The sequence below is a fragment of the Homo sapiens genome, chromosome 2 (assembly GCF_000001405.40).
Source record: "Homo sapiens chromosome 2, GRCh38.p14 Primary Assembly".
NCBI lineage: Eukaryota > Metazoa > Chordata > Mammalia > Primates > Hominidae > Homo > Homo sapiens.
This window is the reverse complement of record NC_000002.12, coordinates 218584097-218601388: the sequence shown is the minus strand read 5'-3', so window position 1 is coordinate 218601388 and position 17292 is coordinate 218584097. Positions and strand designations below refer to the sequence as shown.

General features: G+C 42.0%; 1 protein-coding gene and 1 pseudogene across 6 annotated transcripts in view; one reads left to right on the top strand and one right to left on the bottom strand.

Annotated features, from left to right (window-relative positions):
* Window positions 1-4308: 4308 nt before the first annotated feature.
* CNOT9 (CCR4-NOT transcription complex subunit 9) overlaps window positions 4309-17292 on the bottom strand; it is a 28242-nt gene continuing 15258 nt past the window's right edge. For 2 of the 6 annotated variants that reach the window (NM_005444.3, XM_047446271.1), the window contains 5 exons: window positions 16668-16777; window positions 13694-13803; window positions 8987-9085; window positions 8682-8773; window positions 4309-7281 (listed from right to left, as the gene is read on the bottom strand). In NM_005444.3, the coding sequence (NP_005435.1) occupies window positions 7113-7281; window positions 8682-8773; window positions 8987-9085; window positions 13694-13803; window positions 16668-16777 (580 nt within the window). In that variant the 3' untranslated portion in view covers window positions 4309-7112. Of the gene's footprint in view, window positions 7282-7541; window positions 7862-8681; window positions 8774-8986; window positions 9086-13693; window positions 13804-13988; window positions 14085-16667; window positions 16778-17292 lie in introns of those variants that run through there. The other 4 variants (NM_001271635.2, XM_047446272.1, NM_001271634.2 and 1 more) reach the window with 3 other exon arrangements.
* RNU6-136P (RNA, U6 small nuclear 136, pseudogene) lies at window positions 12069-12175 on the top strand (annotated as a pseudogene).

Genomic DNA, 17292 nt, shown 5'->3' with positions numbered 1-17292 from the left:
ATAGTCTGTGACCTTGCTAAATTCACTTATTATTATTATTTTTGAGATGGAGTCTTGCTCTGTTGCCCAGGCTGGAGTGCGGTGGCGTGATCTTGGCTCACTGCAACCTCTGCCTCCCGGGTTCAAGCCTGCTTCAGCCTCCTGAGTACCTGGGATTACAGGCATGTGCCACCACGCCCGGCTAATTTTTGTATTTTTAGTAGAGATGGGATTTCACCATGTTGGTCAGGCTGGTCTTGAACTCCTGACCTCGTGATCTGCCCACCTCGGCTTCCCAGAGTTCTGGGATTACAGGCGTGAGCCACCGCGCCCGGCCTCACTTATTACTTTTTAGGGGTTTGTAGGTTATTTCAGGTTATCTATGTACACAGTCATGTTACCAAATACCAAGGGTTTTTTTCTTTTCCTTTAAAATCTTTTTTTTTACTGGCTGATAAATGGAGGTGTGATTGATAGTGGACAAATGTGTTTAATTCCTTGTCTCATAAATAATATAGTATTTTATTGAGAGGTTTACGGTAGAGTTTTTGTTGATACTTTTTTTTTCCTTTTTTTTTTTTTTGAGACAGTCTCACTCTGTCACCTAGGCTAGAGCGCAGTGGCACAATCTCGGCTCACTGCAACCTCCACCTCCCAGGTTCAAGCGATTCTCCTGACTCAGCCACCCGAGTAGCTGAGGTTACAGGCACCTGCCACCACGCCTGGCTAATTTTTGTATTTTTAGTAGATCTGGGGTTTCACCATGTTGGCCAGGCTGGTCTCAAACTCCTCAGGTGATCTGCCTGCCTTGGCCTCCCAAAGTGTTGGGATTACAGGCGTGAGCCACTGCGCCCGGCCTGTAGACCTCTTGTCTGTATCTATCTAGATGATTGTGTGACTTTTCTCCTTTTATGTTGATATATGAATTGCATTGTATTTTTTTTGAGATAGAGTCTCACTCTTACATAGGCTGGAGTGCAGTGGCACAATTTTGGCTCACTGTAACCTCTGCCTCCCCGGTTCAAGTGATTCTCCTGCCTCAGCCTCCCAAGTAGCTGAAATTACACGTGTGCACCACCACACCCAGCTAATTTTTGTGTTTTTAGTAGAGACAGGTTTTCACCATGTTGGCCAGGCTGGTCTCGAACTCCTGACCTCAAGTATCCACCCGTCTTGGCCTCCCAAAGTGCTGGGATTACAGGCATGAGCCACCGCGCCTGGTGATTGATTTTGAAGTATTGAATCAATCTTCTATTTTTGCAATAAATCCCAATTAGATCTAATGCATTATCATTTTTATATATTGATAGATTTAGTATGTCCGGGAATCTTATATCTACATTCATGGGAGAGGTTTGTCCCTGGTTTTCCTTTCTTGTAATGTTCTTAACCAGTTTTGTTGTCTAGGTTATGCTGCTTCAAAAGTGAATTGGGATTTATTCCCTTTTTCTGGAACTTTATATTAGATTACTGGCTTTGGTGTTTCTTCTTTTGCAATGTGTGAATTTAAGGTTATATATTTCTTTTCTTTTTCTTAGACAGAGTCTCACTCTATCGCCCAGGCTGGAGTGCAGTAGTACGATCTTGGCTCACTGCAACCTCTGTCTCCTGGGTTCAAGCAATTCTTAACCCTCAACCTTCCAAGTAGCTGGGATTACAGATGTACATCACCACACCCGGCTAATTTTTGTATTTTTAGTAGAGATGGGGTTTTCACATGTTGGCCAGACTGGTCTTGAACTCCTGGCTTTGAGTAATCCACCCGTCTCAGCCTCCCAAAGTGCTGGGATTATGGGTGTGAGCCACCACACCCAGCCAAGGTTATATATTTTTTAAATTATTTTTTATTTTATTTTTTTGAGACGGAGTCTCGCTCTGTCGTCCAGACTGGAGTGCAGTGGCACACTCAGCTCACCACAAGCTCCACCCCCGGGTTCACGCCATTCTCCTGCCTCAGCCTCCCGAGTAGCTGGGTCTACAGGTGCCCGCCACCACACCCAGCTAATTGTTTGTATTTTTTAGTAGAGACAGAGTTTCACCGTGTTAGCCAGGATGGTCTCGATCTCCTGACCCCATGATCCGCCCGCCTCAGCCTCCCAGAGTACTGGGATTACAGGCGTTAGCCACTGCGCCCGGCCATATATTTCTTTTTACTCACGGCACCCTCCAACTCCTGGGCTCAAGCAATCCTCTTGCCTCAGCCTCCTAAGTAGCTGGGACTACAGGAGTGCCACCACACTCAGCTTTATTTATTTATTTATTTATTTAAAGAGATGGGGTTGGCTGCGCACGGTGGCTCATGTCTGTAATCCCAGCACTTTGAGAGGCCGAGGCGGGCGGATCACGAGGTCAGGAGTTTGAGACCAGCCTGTCCAATATGGAGAAACCCCATCTCTACTACAATACAAAAAAAAAAGTAGCCTGCCATGGTGGCATGAGCCTGTAATCCCAGCTACTTGAGAGGCTGAGGCAGAATTGCTTGAACCCAAGAGGCAGAGGTTGCAGTGAGCTGAGATCATGCCACTGCTCCAGCTGAGGCGGCAGAGCAAGACTTTGGTCCTGTTATGTTGTCCAAGCTAGTCTTGAACTCCTGCCCTCAAGTGATACTCCTATCCTGGCCTCTGAAAGTGTTGGGATTACAAGTGTGAGTCACTTACATCGTGCCATCATTTCAATTTTCTTAGGGTCTTCCTGTAACCTAGACTGGAGTTCAGTAGTGTGATGGTGGCTCACTGCAGTCTTGAGCTCCTAGACTCAAGCAATCCCCCGACTTCAGTAGCTGGGACTACAGATGTGCACCACCATGCCTAACTTTCTAATTTTTTGGTGGAGACAGAGTCTCACTATGTGGCCCAGGCTGCTCTTGAACTCCTGGGCTCAAGCAATCCTCCCACCTTTGCCTCCCAAAGTGTTGGAATTACAGGCATGAACCACAGAACCCAGCTTTCCTTTTTTTTTTTTTGAGTCTCTGTCGTCCCGGCTGGAGTGCAGTGGGACAATCTCAGTTCACTGCAACCTCAGCCTCCCATGTTCAAGCACTTCTCTTGCTTCAGTGACCCAAGTAGCTGGGATTACAGGTGCCCGCCACCACGCCTGGCTATTTTTTGTATTTTCAGTAGAGATGGGGTTTCACCATATTGGCCTGGCTGGTCTCGAACTCCTGACCTCAAGTGATCCACCTGCCTTGACCTCCCAAAGTGCTGGGATTACAGGCGAGAGCCACCCTACCCTGCTCTCAGCTTTATCACTTAACCAAAAATATTTTCTAGGCTGGGCAAGGTGGCTCATGCCTGTAATCCCAGCACTTTGGGAGGCCAAGGTGGGCAGATCACTTGAAGTCAAGAGTTCAAGACCAGCCTGGCCCACATGGTGAAACCCCATCTCTACTAAGAAAATACAAAAATTAGGTGGGTATGGTGGCATGTGCCTATAATCCCAGATACTTAGGAGGCTGAAGTAGGAGAATCACTTGAACCCAGGAGGCAGTGGTTTCAGTGAGCTGAGATCACGCCACTGCACTCCAGCCTGGGTAACAGTGAGACTCTTCCTCAAAAACATATGTATCTATATGTATAGATACAGATATATATGTATTTTTTTTCTAATTTCCTTTGTGATTTTTTTTTGACCCACGGGTTATTTAGAATTGTACTGCCTAAGTTTCAAACAGCTAGGGACTTTCTAGTTATTTTTCCTAGCTTACTCCACTGTGGCCAGAGAATATTATATTAAATTTTTTGAAAACTTTTTGAGGCTTGATGGTCCAGCTATGATCAGTTCTGATAAATGCTTAGGTGTAATTAAAAAGAGTATGTATACTATTGGTTAAGAGTGCAGTGTTCTATGAATGTCATTTAAGCCAGGTATGTTAATTGTTATTCAAATTTTCTGCTTGTTGGCCAGGCACAGTGGCTCATGCCTGTAATCCCAGCACTTTGGGAGGCTGAGGCTGGCGGATCACCTTAGGCCAGGAGTTCGAGACCAGCCTGGCCAACACGGCGAAACCCCGTCTCTACTAAAAATACAAAAATTAGCAGGATGTGGCAGCGGGCGGCTGTAATCCCAGATACCCAGGAGGCTGAGGCAGGAGAATTGCTTAAACCTGTGAGGCAGATGTTGCAGTGAGCTGAGATTATGCCACTGCACTCCAGCTTGGGAAACAAGACCGAAACTCCAATTCCCAAAAACAAAACAAAACAAACCAACAAATTTTCTATTTGTTATATCTGCTTTTGAAATAAACATATGAAAATATTTTTCCAAAAATTAAATTCCATAATGTATCAGGAAAGAAAAATATAATTTCATTCTAAGGTTTCCTATTCCAAATTTTTTCTCTGAGTTTTTGAAAGCAACAACTTTGTATATCCCCCTTTTCCTAGCCTTTAAGCAGCAGGAACAATGAGCAGAGGAATAATATGTAGTTAGTAAGCAAGGCATGCTCTGAAGGCTACCAATGCTGCTCCTGTTCCACCAGTGAAACAGGCCACAGGCCCTCTAAGGCTCTTGAAAAAAGAACGTGGAAGCATAGGGCAGCTGTGTCCCACTGACAGCCAGGCATGGAAACAATCCTGGAGATGTGCTCCAAGCCTTGAACTTGAGGAAATGAACATCAAAGTTCGTAAGATGTTTCAAGCATTACCTTGTCACTATGGAAGTCTCTCCCTACACTGGCACTAAGTTCTGGCCAATATGGCCAGGAGTGAAGTTCTGTCCCAGTAAAACATACTTTTATCAGGTAAGGGGCATCATCCCCCTCCCAGCCTCCCAAACAGCTTTTGTACCTCAGATGGAGTCTCCCCAAAAAACATGTTCACAAAAGAACCACTACTGCCATCTTAGCAGGGCTGTGTGTGTGTGTGTGTGTGTGTTGTGTAGGTAGACAGAGGGGAGAAGCAGGCATGACAAGGATCACCTGACCAAAGTGCCTAGTTACCCATATACTGATAGAATAAAATCTCCAGTGTAAAGGAAAAATTATTTTTACAAAAACAGAAGCATGTTTTATTTCAATCCTGTTAAGGGAGAGGGATGGAAAACACAAAATAAGGGGAGGGGTCTCTTTATATAATACACACACCAGGATCAACTACAATGAATAATACCCATTCCATCCCTCCCCCACCAACTCCTATGTGGGTTCCAAGGCCAGCTGAGAATAGATGGGACAAGAATTAAGACACTTTGGCACAGTAACATGGCCAATGCACCGAAAGATGGAGAGAAGAGAATTTCCCAGGGAGCAAGGCCCTGGGCCTCAGCTGCTTCCCCAGTGGAGGGGTAATGAGAAAACTTTGGCTCAGCAGGAAGGCGGTTGTCAAAAATCTGGGTTACCTTAACTGGACTCTCCAGATCACAGACTACGGGCTGAATAGAGTCAAGATGTCTATCCAGTCCATTCTGTTCTCTGCTTTCTCTAAGATCACTTCTCTTCAGGCTTGCAATTATTGAGGGTTGGCCTGCTTCTCCTCTTCATCTTGGAAGGCAGGGGGAGTAAGTGCTTATTCTGCCCTTCCTATATCTAGGCCACTTAATTACTATTTTCTTGGCTCTAAAGAGACAGAAGCCAACTAACAAGTCCGGCTCTCTTTGTGAAAGTCGGCTTGAAAGAGCCCTTGTGTTGGCAAAACTGCCTCTGCAAATGGGTTTTTTTTTTTTTGAGCCTACCCCTTATAGACCCTCCCCAAGCTTGTTCAGACACCTCAATTGTGTGAGATGTGGGCAGAAAAGACTTGGTCCCTCTCCAGAGTTGGATTAAGCAATCCCATCTTTGACTGGAGATAGGGATGAGAAAGCAGGTGCTAGCAGGGGAAAGAACCGGGGAAAGCAAGGCAGTTTACACTAGGTTGCAGATTCAAGCCTATGGATTGTGAAGAGCCACCTAAGCTCCAGAGAAGAGGAAATCTCTGACACGATATGAACAAGTGAATATTTTAGCGGCAACCCTGTAATTCCCATAGACTAAAAGAGAATGGTCAAAAAAAAAAAAAAAAAAAAAAAAAAAAGACTGAGTGAGCAGAACCCAGCCCTCCATCTTCAATCTGAATAAAATTAACTCATACAGCTAATACTGCTCAAGTACAATCATGAAGACAGATGGAGCTGCTGAAATTCACACTAAAACAAAGAAAAGGATCAAGTGGACTGTCACCTTAATCCCAAGCACCTCCCTTTTAGAGTTATTGAGAAAATATCTTTGAAAACTTGGATTGAAGGTGAGGTCCACCACCGCCCCTTGTCTCCCAATACAATACCCTTCCAAGACAGCCTGATTAATTAAGACATCTGTTTTAAGTTTAATAGAAGGGAAGTTCAAAAAGGGAAAGCACTGAGATTTGGGAAAACTAGCAGCTAAAGCCAGAAACAAGGTTAAGGTCCTCGTGGCATTCCGGACTGGGAGTAGAATGGGAGAAGGAAGGGAAACAGGTGGTGGGTTCCTGCTGTACTTTGGCTTTACATCTTTCCCCTGCCCTCCCATTTCTCCCAACAGCTTGATGCAGCTATTGGCCTGCCAGAGGGGATGTAATGCCCAGACCAACTTTTTATTGAGCTTATGCAGCTAACAGACTTGTAAACAGTGCCAGTCGACAAAGTTTTGCTGAATATTACAGCTTGTGCCCACTAAACACACCTCTCTCTGAGATTAAAAACAAAAAAACCAAAGTAAACAAATACTGAGAGAGAATGAAGAGACATATCTTGAGTCTTCCAGAAAGGCAAAATAAAAAACGCCACATGGCTTGGTCCCAGGCGTTCACCATGCCTAGAGTGCTGCTGCTATCACCACTGTCTCCCCTCCCTGCCAGTGGCTAGGTAGAGGTAGGGGAGAAGGGTCATCTTGGACATGCTGCAAATACAGCATTTGCTGGTGTTGACACCCTCCTGGGGCTGTGGTGGCAGACTGCTGTGTCAGGAGCCCATTTCCTGGGAGTAGCAGAGGGAGCCCAGGTCCTCAAGACAGCCTGAGATGGCAGCCCATACACCTCAGCAGGGGTACCTTGCCCCTTTTCTCCAGTGCGGTTCAGCATTGAGGTTGTCTATTCCCAGTCGGTGATAAAACCTGAGCTGTTTTTCTCGTAGGTTCCCCCTCCTTTCCCCAACTTGGGGGAGTAGTGGGAGGGAACAGGGAAGGATCACTGAGGGGGCAGGGGGATACCCCGGGGATCGGTGACCTGGCCCTCTTGCAGGTTCTTCACCAGTTGTGCAAGCCAGCGTTTCGTGGTGGTGTCATCTTTTAGCACCTGGGCGAAGGTTGTGTCTTTCAGCTGGTCAGGGAGGCACTGTCTGAGTGCTTCACGTGCCCTACATCAGAAACAAACAAACCAACCAGGGAGACCAACAAATAAACCCACATTTTGTGGACAGGGAAGAGCCCCCTTCTTAGACATAAATATTTAGAATACTGTGAATCTATGGCTCCTTAAGAAGCCATTAAAATTCTCTAAAGCTATATTAGGCATAGGCTTAGAGATCTCCAAAATCTGTATCCACAAATATTTTCTGAATGATGCCCCAATGTAGAATTTCATGAAAAAGCAAAATTAAAAGGTTCAATAGTTTACTTCCATTCAAACAGCTTTCTGATTTATTAAATACTGTCAAAATACTCATGTTAGAAATATATGGATTATGGCAAATAAAATAATTCAAAAATCAGTACATTAACAAGGATATCATCAAACTTATGATAACTTAATGAATTTTAATTCTATACTAAGTTATCAATTTGTGTCTTTACAGAAATTGCTTCAGTTTTATGGTTAAAAACCTTAATAAGAGATGAGCAGTGAAAACAAAACTATGGTAGCAGTATTATCAGATGAACTTTTAAACGTTTCATTTTCTTTGAAAAGATGACCAGCAGAAAGTCAAATCTGAAAACCTAAAAAAGGTAAATGTTAACTATGTGTAGAGCTATTTTAAACAAAGTTATAGTTTTTGCACTCAGACTAGTTTTCTTTGTACAAGTAGAATTTTAAATAAACACATTTTTAAACTTTAGTGAAACAAGAACCACTGAAGAACAGGATAAAATGGTCAACAAACAGGTAGGGCTTGAATAAACTCAGTGGCAGGAGACTGAGTTCACATTAAATCAAATCAAGCTAGCTCTCTTCCCAGGAACACAGAAATTGCTCCATTACGTGGTTTAGCAGAATATGAGCAGGTTGCTTTCAGCATGAATTATGGATTTACAAAGCAAAAGGTCAAACATTTCTAAAATGCATTATATCTACAGTGTATGATTTCTGGCAGAAAGATTATGAACATAAGCAGATAAAATAATTAGCTCAAGAAACTTATAGGAATCAAGGACAGAATTGGAAATAGAATTCAAGAGCCCTCTGGGCTGTGTTCCTTTTTAAGAGATCTTTGAAAATATACTTCTCTCTCTGACCACGTAGAGTAGCAACAGAAAATTCAAACAACAGGAGTAATGCATCATAAGGTTTCCTTTGGAATCGCCTAGACTCTCTGGAATTTCACAGTAGGATGGAGAGTTACAGTGAGAAGATGAAACTGATGGCTACTAAAATTCAGCATTTCAGATTTTTAAAAGAATCTAAGTTCTGTCTCAGACAAACTAAATGCAGTTATATCCCCACTTCCCTGTCCTAAAGACACAGGAGCTATGCCATGAGATTAGGAAACTGTTCAGCAGAGTATTTCCCTAAAGTCCTATACATCCTATAAATGTTTACCTGGGGTTATCTGAAAGTCGAAGGTAACATCTCACTACATGCTTCAGCAGACGGGCAGAAGGCTCTTTGGATAGCTGCAGGACCATCTTACCCTGTTTCCCCCAAAATAAGGGGAGGGGTTGGAAAAAACACACAAAACACAAACAAATTCTAATTGACATCAGAGATCAGATAGTCCAAGAATCATAAAAGGTTCCAAAATTGTTAGTTCTAGTCAGAGGACTGAAGTTGTTCAATGCCAGTTATAAAGAGATTAAGCTTTGTGATGAGAAGTAGTTGTAAAGGGGATAGATGAAAGAACTCACCAAGATCATGGCAACATGGGAGAAACGCTCATACGTCTGACATATATAAGCCAAACCAGTGTCATCTAACAAGATCTTCTGGAGGATGAATGTGGCAACCTGAAGCAAAACAAAATCGAAGAGTTTATAAAGTTGCTCAGATTTAATCTTCTCATTTTCTACTCATTTTCCCAGGCATGACTATCAGTCAGAAAATTGAGCAAGCAGGGATCCTTGTATATTATGTACAACTTTATCATATATGTATAGTACAAAGAATAATAAATATTACCATGTTGAACATTACTTTGTACCAGTTTTTTTTTCTAGAGGCTTTACATGCTTATCTTATTTTTATAATAAATCAATGAGGTAGGTACCATTATTATTCTCACTTTACATACAAGGGTAGGTTCCGTGTAATTATCAAATTCTTAAAAACTCAGAGACCTTCTCATTTACAGAGTACCTACTATGTGCCCGGTATAACTGTTAATCAATAATGCACCAGGTTAAGGTCCCAAGTGACAAAGTTACTATGGCACAGCTGAGATCCAAGCCTCATTTGAATATCTAAGGCTCTTCTCTTTTCCATAGGCCAAGATGATTTATTCAGCTATGCCTCCTCTCTTCCAGATGAAGTAAGGCCTTTCTTTCTTTTTTCTTTTCTTTTTTTTTTTTTAGATGGAGTCTCACTCTGTCGCCCAGACTGGAGTGCAGTGGCTCCATTTCAGCTCACTGCAACCTCTGCCACCCTGGTTCAACTGATTCTCCTGCCTCAGCCTCCCGAGTAGCTAGGATTACAGGCTCCTGCCACCATGCCTGGCTAATTTTGGTATTTTTAGTAGAGACGGGGTTTCACCGTCTTGGCTAGGCTGGGCTTGAATTCCCTGACCTCGTGATCCACCTGCCTTGGCCTACCAAAGTGCTGGGATTACAAGCGTGAGCCACTGCACTCGGCTGAGATAAGGCCTTTTTTGTTCTTAAAAGATCTTGAAGAAATAAGATTTTCACGCTTCTCTTTGAAGATTATCTAACAGTAATAAAACATATCCTGGCTGTGAAGCTTATATGTGGCCTCAATTTTTCCCTCAACTTGAGCTCATTAGCTCTTACATAAAAGAGATATTAAAATATTAGTTTAATTTAAATTAGACAATCACGATAATGATACTCTTTCTTGGCTGCTCATCAAAATGAACTGTGGAATTATTTTACTATTTTATTGGGGTTATAACACTGTAGTAGGCTGAATAATGGCTCTCAAAGATATCCAGGCCCTAATCACCAAACTCTGCAAATGTTACCTTAAATGAAAAATGGGACTTTGCAGACGTGATTAAGTTAAGGATCTTGAGATGGGGGATTATCCCTGTTTATCCAAGTAGGCCTTAAATGTAATAACGAAGTGTCCTTAAAAGCGATGTAGAGAAGGCCAGGCAAAGTGACCCATGCTGGTAATCTCAGCACTCTGGGAGGCCAAGGTGGGAGGACTGCTTGAGGCCAGGAGTTCAAGGATGCAGTGAGTTATGATCATGCCACTGCACTCCAGCCTGGGCGACAGAGAAAACCCCATCTCTTAAAACAAACAAACAAACAAAACAACAACAACAACAACAACAACAAGAGAGATGTAGGGAGAGATTTTACCACAAAGGAGAAAGCAATGTGACAAGCAGAAAGAGATTTGAACATGCCACATCGCTGGATCTGAAGAGGGAGGGGGCCATAATCCAGGGAATGCAAGAAATGCAGTTCTAGAAGCTAGAAAAGGCAACAAAAAGACTCTCCTCTATATCCTCCAGAGAAAGCATGACCCTCCTGATACATTGACTTTAGATTGGTGAAACTCATTTAGAACTTGTGACTTCCAAAACTATAAAACAGTAAACTTCCATTGTTTTAAGCCACTACCCTTCTAGCTTGTGGTAATTTGTTATAGCAGCAGGTTATATAGGAACCTAATATAAACTTACACACAGTGAAGTGTGTTAAGTGCACTAATCTTAAGTGTACCTTGAATTTTTACCTATGTACACATTATGTACTATAACCAGATTAAAATACAAAATATTGTATAAAATACAGAATATTTGGGAGGTGGAGGCAGGCAGATTGCCTGAGCTTAGGAGTTCAAGACTAGCATGGGCTACATGGCGAAACTCCATCTCTACTAAAAATACAAAAAATTAGCTGGGTATGATGGTGTGTGCCTGTAGTTCCAACTACTCAGGAGGCTGAGGCATGAGAATTGCTTGAACCCAGGAGGCAGAGGTTGCAATGAGCCGAGATCACTCCACTTCACTCCAGCCTGGGTGACAGAGTGAGACTGTCTCAAAAACAAAAAACAACAACAACAAAAAAAAAAACAGAAAAAAGCAATATTTCTACCAACTCAGGATTCCAGCATTCCCTTGTACCTTTCCCCAGTCAATGTTCTTTCCTCAGAGCTAACCACGAATCCAACTTATTGCCAGTAATTGGCTTTGCTTGTTCTTAAACTTCACATAATCAACATACAGTATGAATTCCCATGTGTCTGGCTTCTTTTGCTCAACAATGCCTTTGACAGTCATCCATATATTGAATATTTAAAATAAAAAGCTTAAAAATAGCCAGGTATAGGGATGTGTGCCAGTATCAAAGCTACCTACTCCAGAGAGGGAAGTGGGAAGACTGCTTGAGCCCCGGAGTTCAAGGCTATAGTGTGCCATTATCATGGCTGTGAATAGCCACTGCATTCCAGCCTGGGCAACATAGTGAAACCTTGTCTCTTTAAAAACAATAAATTGGTCAGGCACAGTGGCTCATGCTTGTACTCCTAGTACTACGGCAGAAGGCAGGAAGATCCTTTGAGCCCAGGAGTTCAAGAGTAGCCCAGGCAACATAGGGAGACCTTGTCTTTACAAAAAATAAAAATAATTAGCTGAGTGTGGTGGAGCAGGCATGTGGTCCCAGCTACTTGTGAAGCTGAGGTGGGAGGATCAACTGAACCTAGGAGGTCGAGGCGGCAGTGAGCCATGCCTCTCTACTCCAGCCTGGGTGACAGACAGAGATCCTGTCTCTAAATAAATAAATAATTTAATTAAAAATTAAAAAACCAGTGCTCACTTAGACAGCACATGTACTAAAATTGGAACAACACAGAGAAGATTAGTGTGGCCCCTGTGCGAAGATAATACACAAATTCATGAAGCATTCCATATATATATATTTAAAAGTAAAAAGCCAAAAAAATCATTATACCTGCTTACACCCAACTCAAGAATAAAATATTTGTTAGACTAAAAAAGTAATTTAATGTGACAAGGCAAATTTTAGAGCAGAGGTTGAATACTACCCAAAATTGTCAGCAGTATGGAAAAGTAACCTTGAAAAAAATCAAATAATATGAAATTTAAAAATTGAAAGTGATTAGAGAAAAAAATATGAAAGACAGATAATAGAGCATAACTGATGTTGAACCAAGAGACTTGAACGAATAAAAGAGAAAAATATACAAATCAACAAAAAAGACACAAGTAATATGCTCTTTCAGAAAAAAATTGAGGCTGGGTGAGGTGGCTCACGCCTGTAATCCCAGCACTTTGGGAGGCCAAGGTGGGCGGATCATCTGAGGTCAGGAGTTCAAGACCAGCCTGTCCAACATGACAAAACCCAATCTCTACTAAAAATACAAAAAAAAAAAAATTAGCCAGGAGTGGTGGTGTGTGCCTGTAGTCCCAGCTACGTGGGAGGCTGAGGCAGAAGAATTGCTTGAACCTGATAGGTGGAGGTTGCAGCGAGCTGAGATTACATCACTCCATCTCAAAAAAAAAAAAAAAAAAAAAAAAAAGGCCGGGTGGAGTGGCTCATGACTGTAAACCCAGCACTTTGGGAGGCTGAGGCGGACGGATCACCTGAGGTCAGGGGTTCAACACCAGCCTGGTTAATATAGTGAAACCCCATTTCTACTAAAAATACAAATATTAGCTGGGTATGGTGGCACATGCCTGTAGTCCCAGCTACTTGGGAGGCTGAGGCAGGAGAACTGCTTGAACCCGGGAGGCGGAGGTTGCAATGAGCTGAGATTACACCACTGCACTCCAGCCTGGGTGACACAGCAAGACTCCATCTCAGAGAAAAAAAAAAAAAAAGATATATGATTATCAAATGAACTTTAAAAATAATAAAAGACACTTGTAGGTAACCACACAAAAAAGTAAGTTCACCTAAAAAAGGAAAGAATTAGGCTGACCCTGAGACTTCTCTGCAATATTCAATGTTAGAAGACAAAAGGACTATGGCAATGGAGGTCTGAGACAGAACAATGAGGTAAGAATTCTGTACAATGAGTAAGAATTCTGTACCTTGTCATGTTGTCATTCATGGTTAAAGTACATAGTAAGCAGAAGCTCAAGTACATATAATTGATTATGTATTTTAAAAAAGCCCGGTTATAGAAGGAGCAGGATTGAAATTTTAAAATTAAAAAAATGAAACCGTAATAATATACTTAGAATTTACCTGTGGAGTGAGATGTGGGTTTGGAGAAAAGAAATTTAGTGTTTAACTTGATTTTCTTCTGAATGGTTTGGGTTTTTCAATAATTGTTTCATAATAATTTTTATTCAAAACAGAAAATATTCATACAAATTTCAAAAGCTTGAAGAGAGAAAATGATCCCAGGACCATAAGGAAGCAGCTTAAGAGTCAACACAATGTAAAATCTAAGTTAAAAGTACATACTGTTTTAGAAAGTTCACTTCCAGATTCCATAATTCGCAAACATAAAGGGATAATTTCTGTTGTTAATAAAAAGTTGATTACTTCTTGTTCATCTGTTTTCACCAGGGCCCCTAAAGAAAATAAGGACAAACAAAATTATTTTACAGTTAGGGTTTCCAGTTAACATTAACTTCGAACTGTTTATCCAGTGAGTTGTGAACTTAAATAACAGAACACAAACTGGGGTTTGTTAAAGGAATCAGATTCACACTCGTATTAAAAAAAAAAAGGAAGAGGGCGGCGCAGTAGCTCACACCTGTAATCCCAGCACTTTGGGAGGCCGAGGCGGGCAGATCACTTGAGGTCGGGAGTTCAAGATCAGCCTGGCCAACATGGTGAAACCCCGTCTCTACTAAAAATACAAAAATTAGCAAGGCATGGTGGCAGGCTCCTGTAATCCCAGCTACTCGGGAAGCTGAGGCAGGAGAATCAATTGAACCTGTACAGGTTACAGTGAGCTGAGATTGCACCACTGCACTCTAGTCTGGGTGACAGACTCTCTCTAAAAAAAAAAGCTTTCTGCACTAAATTGTCTTTGTACCTTTGTCAAAAATCAACTGACCATATATGTGTGGGTCTATTTCTGGACTCTTCATTCTGCTCCAATGGTCTGTAAATCTTTCTTTTCTCCAGTATTACACTGCCTTGACTACTATATTTTTCCAGTAGGTGTGGAACTCAGGTAGTATATGTCTTCCAACTTTGTTCTTTTAAAGAAATGTTTGGATATTCTAGTTCCTTTGGCTTTCCATATAAATCTTAGGATCAGTCTATTAGAAGGCTGCCATAACAAAATACCATAGACTGGTGGCTTAAACAACTGAAATTTATTGTCTCATAGTTCTAGCAGCTGAAAGTCTGAGATCAGGCTGGGCACAGTGGCTCACACCTGTAATCACAGCACTTTGGGAGGCTGAGGCAGCTGGATCACCTGAGGTCAGGAGTTCCAAGACCAGCCTGGCCAACATCGTGAAACCCTGTCTCTATTAAAAATACAAAAATTAGCCGGGTGTGGTGGCACGCACCTGTAGTCCCAGCTACTCGGGATGCTGAGGCAGAAGAATTGCTAGAACCCAGGAGGCGGAGGGTGCAGTGAGCCAAAATTATGCCACTGCACTCTAGCCTGGGCAACAGAGCAAGAATCTGTCTCACAAAAAAAAAAAAAAAAGCTGAGATCAGGGTGCCAGCATGGTATGGTATAGTTCTTGTAAAGTCTCTCTTCCTGGCTTGTAGATGGCCAGCTTCTCACTATGTCCTCACATGGCAGAGAGCGAATGAGGGAGCACAAGCTCTTTGGTGTCTCTTCTTAGAAGAATACTAACCTCATGAGGGCCATGTCCTCATCTAAACCTAATTATCTTTCAAAGGTCCCATCTCCAAATACCATGACATGAGGGGGTAGGGTTTCAAAGCATGAAATTTTGGGGAGGACACAATTCAGTCCATAGCAGTCAGCCTGCCAATTTCTAAAAAAAGTGCTGCTGGGATTTTGTTGGAATTACTCTGAATCTATAGATCAGTTTGGGGAGAATGAACAACTTAACAATACTGAATCATTGATACACCAATCAATGAACATGGTTTATCTCTGCATTTTATTTCATTAGAAATCAGTTTTGTAGTTTTTAGTTATAGATCATGCATATATTTTTAAAGATTTATACCCAAATTTTCACATTTCGGTGCTGTTATAAATGGCAGTTTAAAAAAATTTCAGCTAGGTGCAGTGGCTCACATCTGTAATCCCAGCACTTTGGGAGGCCAAGGTGGGAGAACCACTTGAGCCCAGAAGTTTGAGACAAGCCTGGGCAACAAAAAGTGAGACCTTGTGTCTACAAAAAAATAAAAAAATGTAGCCAGGTGTGGTGGCATGTGCCTATGGTTCCAGCTTCTCAAGGCTGAGGTGGGTGGATTTGTGTGATCCCAGGAGTTTGAGGGTGCAGTGAGCCATGATCATGCCACTGCACTCAAGAGTGGGCAACAGAGCAAGACCTTGTCTCAAAAAAAAAAAAAAAAAATAAAATAAAAAATAAATTTCCTATTGTTCATTGCTAGTACATGGAAATTTAATTTTTTTTTTTTGAGTCTCCCTCTGCCGCCCAGGCTGGAGTGCAGTGGCGTGATCTTGGCTCACTGCAATCACTGCATCTCCACCTCCCAGGTTCAAGCGATTCTCCTGCCTCAGCCTCCCCAGCAGCTGGGACTACAGGCACATGCCACCACGCCCGGCTGATTTTTGCATTATTTTTTTAGTAGAGACTAAAAAAAAAGTAGATGAAAAAATTTAACTGGGTGAACTGACAGATTCATATTCCTGGAGTTATGGGAGAATTACAGGTTTTCAGAATGCTTAGTGTATTTGACATGCATATTCTTAGGGCATTTCAGATATACGAAGCATTCCGGTATTAGAAGTAAGACAAACAAACAAAAAAAGACAGTGGTGTGTGCCTGTGCCCATGGTCCCTATTACTTGGGAGGCTGAGGCAGGAGGATCACTTGAGCCTAGGAGTTCAATTCCAGCCTGGGTAACACAGCAAGACCCTATCAGAAAGAAAAGAAAAGAAAAGAAGAGAAGAGAAGAGAGAAGGGAAGAGGAGAAGTCCCAAATTTAAACTCTTATTCCTTTAATAATACTCTTTATATATTGAATCAAGTTCTTATGCTTTACTCTCCCTACAATTCCAGCAAATGTTTCCACATATATGCTGAATTTAATCCCAAATGTTGGATCTCAAAGTCTTATTAACAACACTTAGAAGAGTGCTTGATAGGAGTCATCATGTTCCTGATACTTATTGATTAGTGAATGAGACAACCTCAAAGACAAAAATGAATGACTGGTGTACAAAAATCATAACCGGCAAGACAAAACACCCAACTTAGACTACTACTGTGAGTATTTCAGGCTTGCAAAACAATTCTAATAACTTACCAATAACTCCAAGGCTGGTGAGCCGGAGATACTCAAAGGGACGTGTTTTGCTGACAGTGTGCAAAAAGGGGTACAAAAAAAGTGGGATGTGTGCTGCGAGAAACGCTGACCTGGAAGAAAACAATAATTACATTCACAGCCCAGGGTTGATTTCTAAGGATCCTGAACTTTCAAATTTCTAGGTGGTTAATTCTGTAAGGCCTTAACATTGTCAGAGCAAGGAATCCTTAGGAAAACAATGTTACTGGTCATTAGTCTCAACCAATGGTTCTCAAATGGGGTAAATTTTGCCCCCTGGAGGACATGTGGCAATGTCTGGAGACATCTTTGATTGTCACAACTCAGGATTATGAAGCACTATTGGCATCCAGTGGGAAGAGGCCAGAGATGCCATTAAACATCCTACAATGCACAGGACAGTCCTCTCCTGCCCTCTCCTTTCCATCACAAAGATTCATCCAGCCCCAAATGGTAATGGTGCCAAAGCTGAAAACCCTAGTCCAGATCACAGTGGTTAAGAAAACACATGATTTTCCCTGTAATCAGCAAAAAGTACCTTACAAACTGATTAACTTAAAATATCCAATTGTGGATTTTAAAAAATAGACCACAAAATGCTATTAAG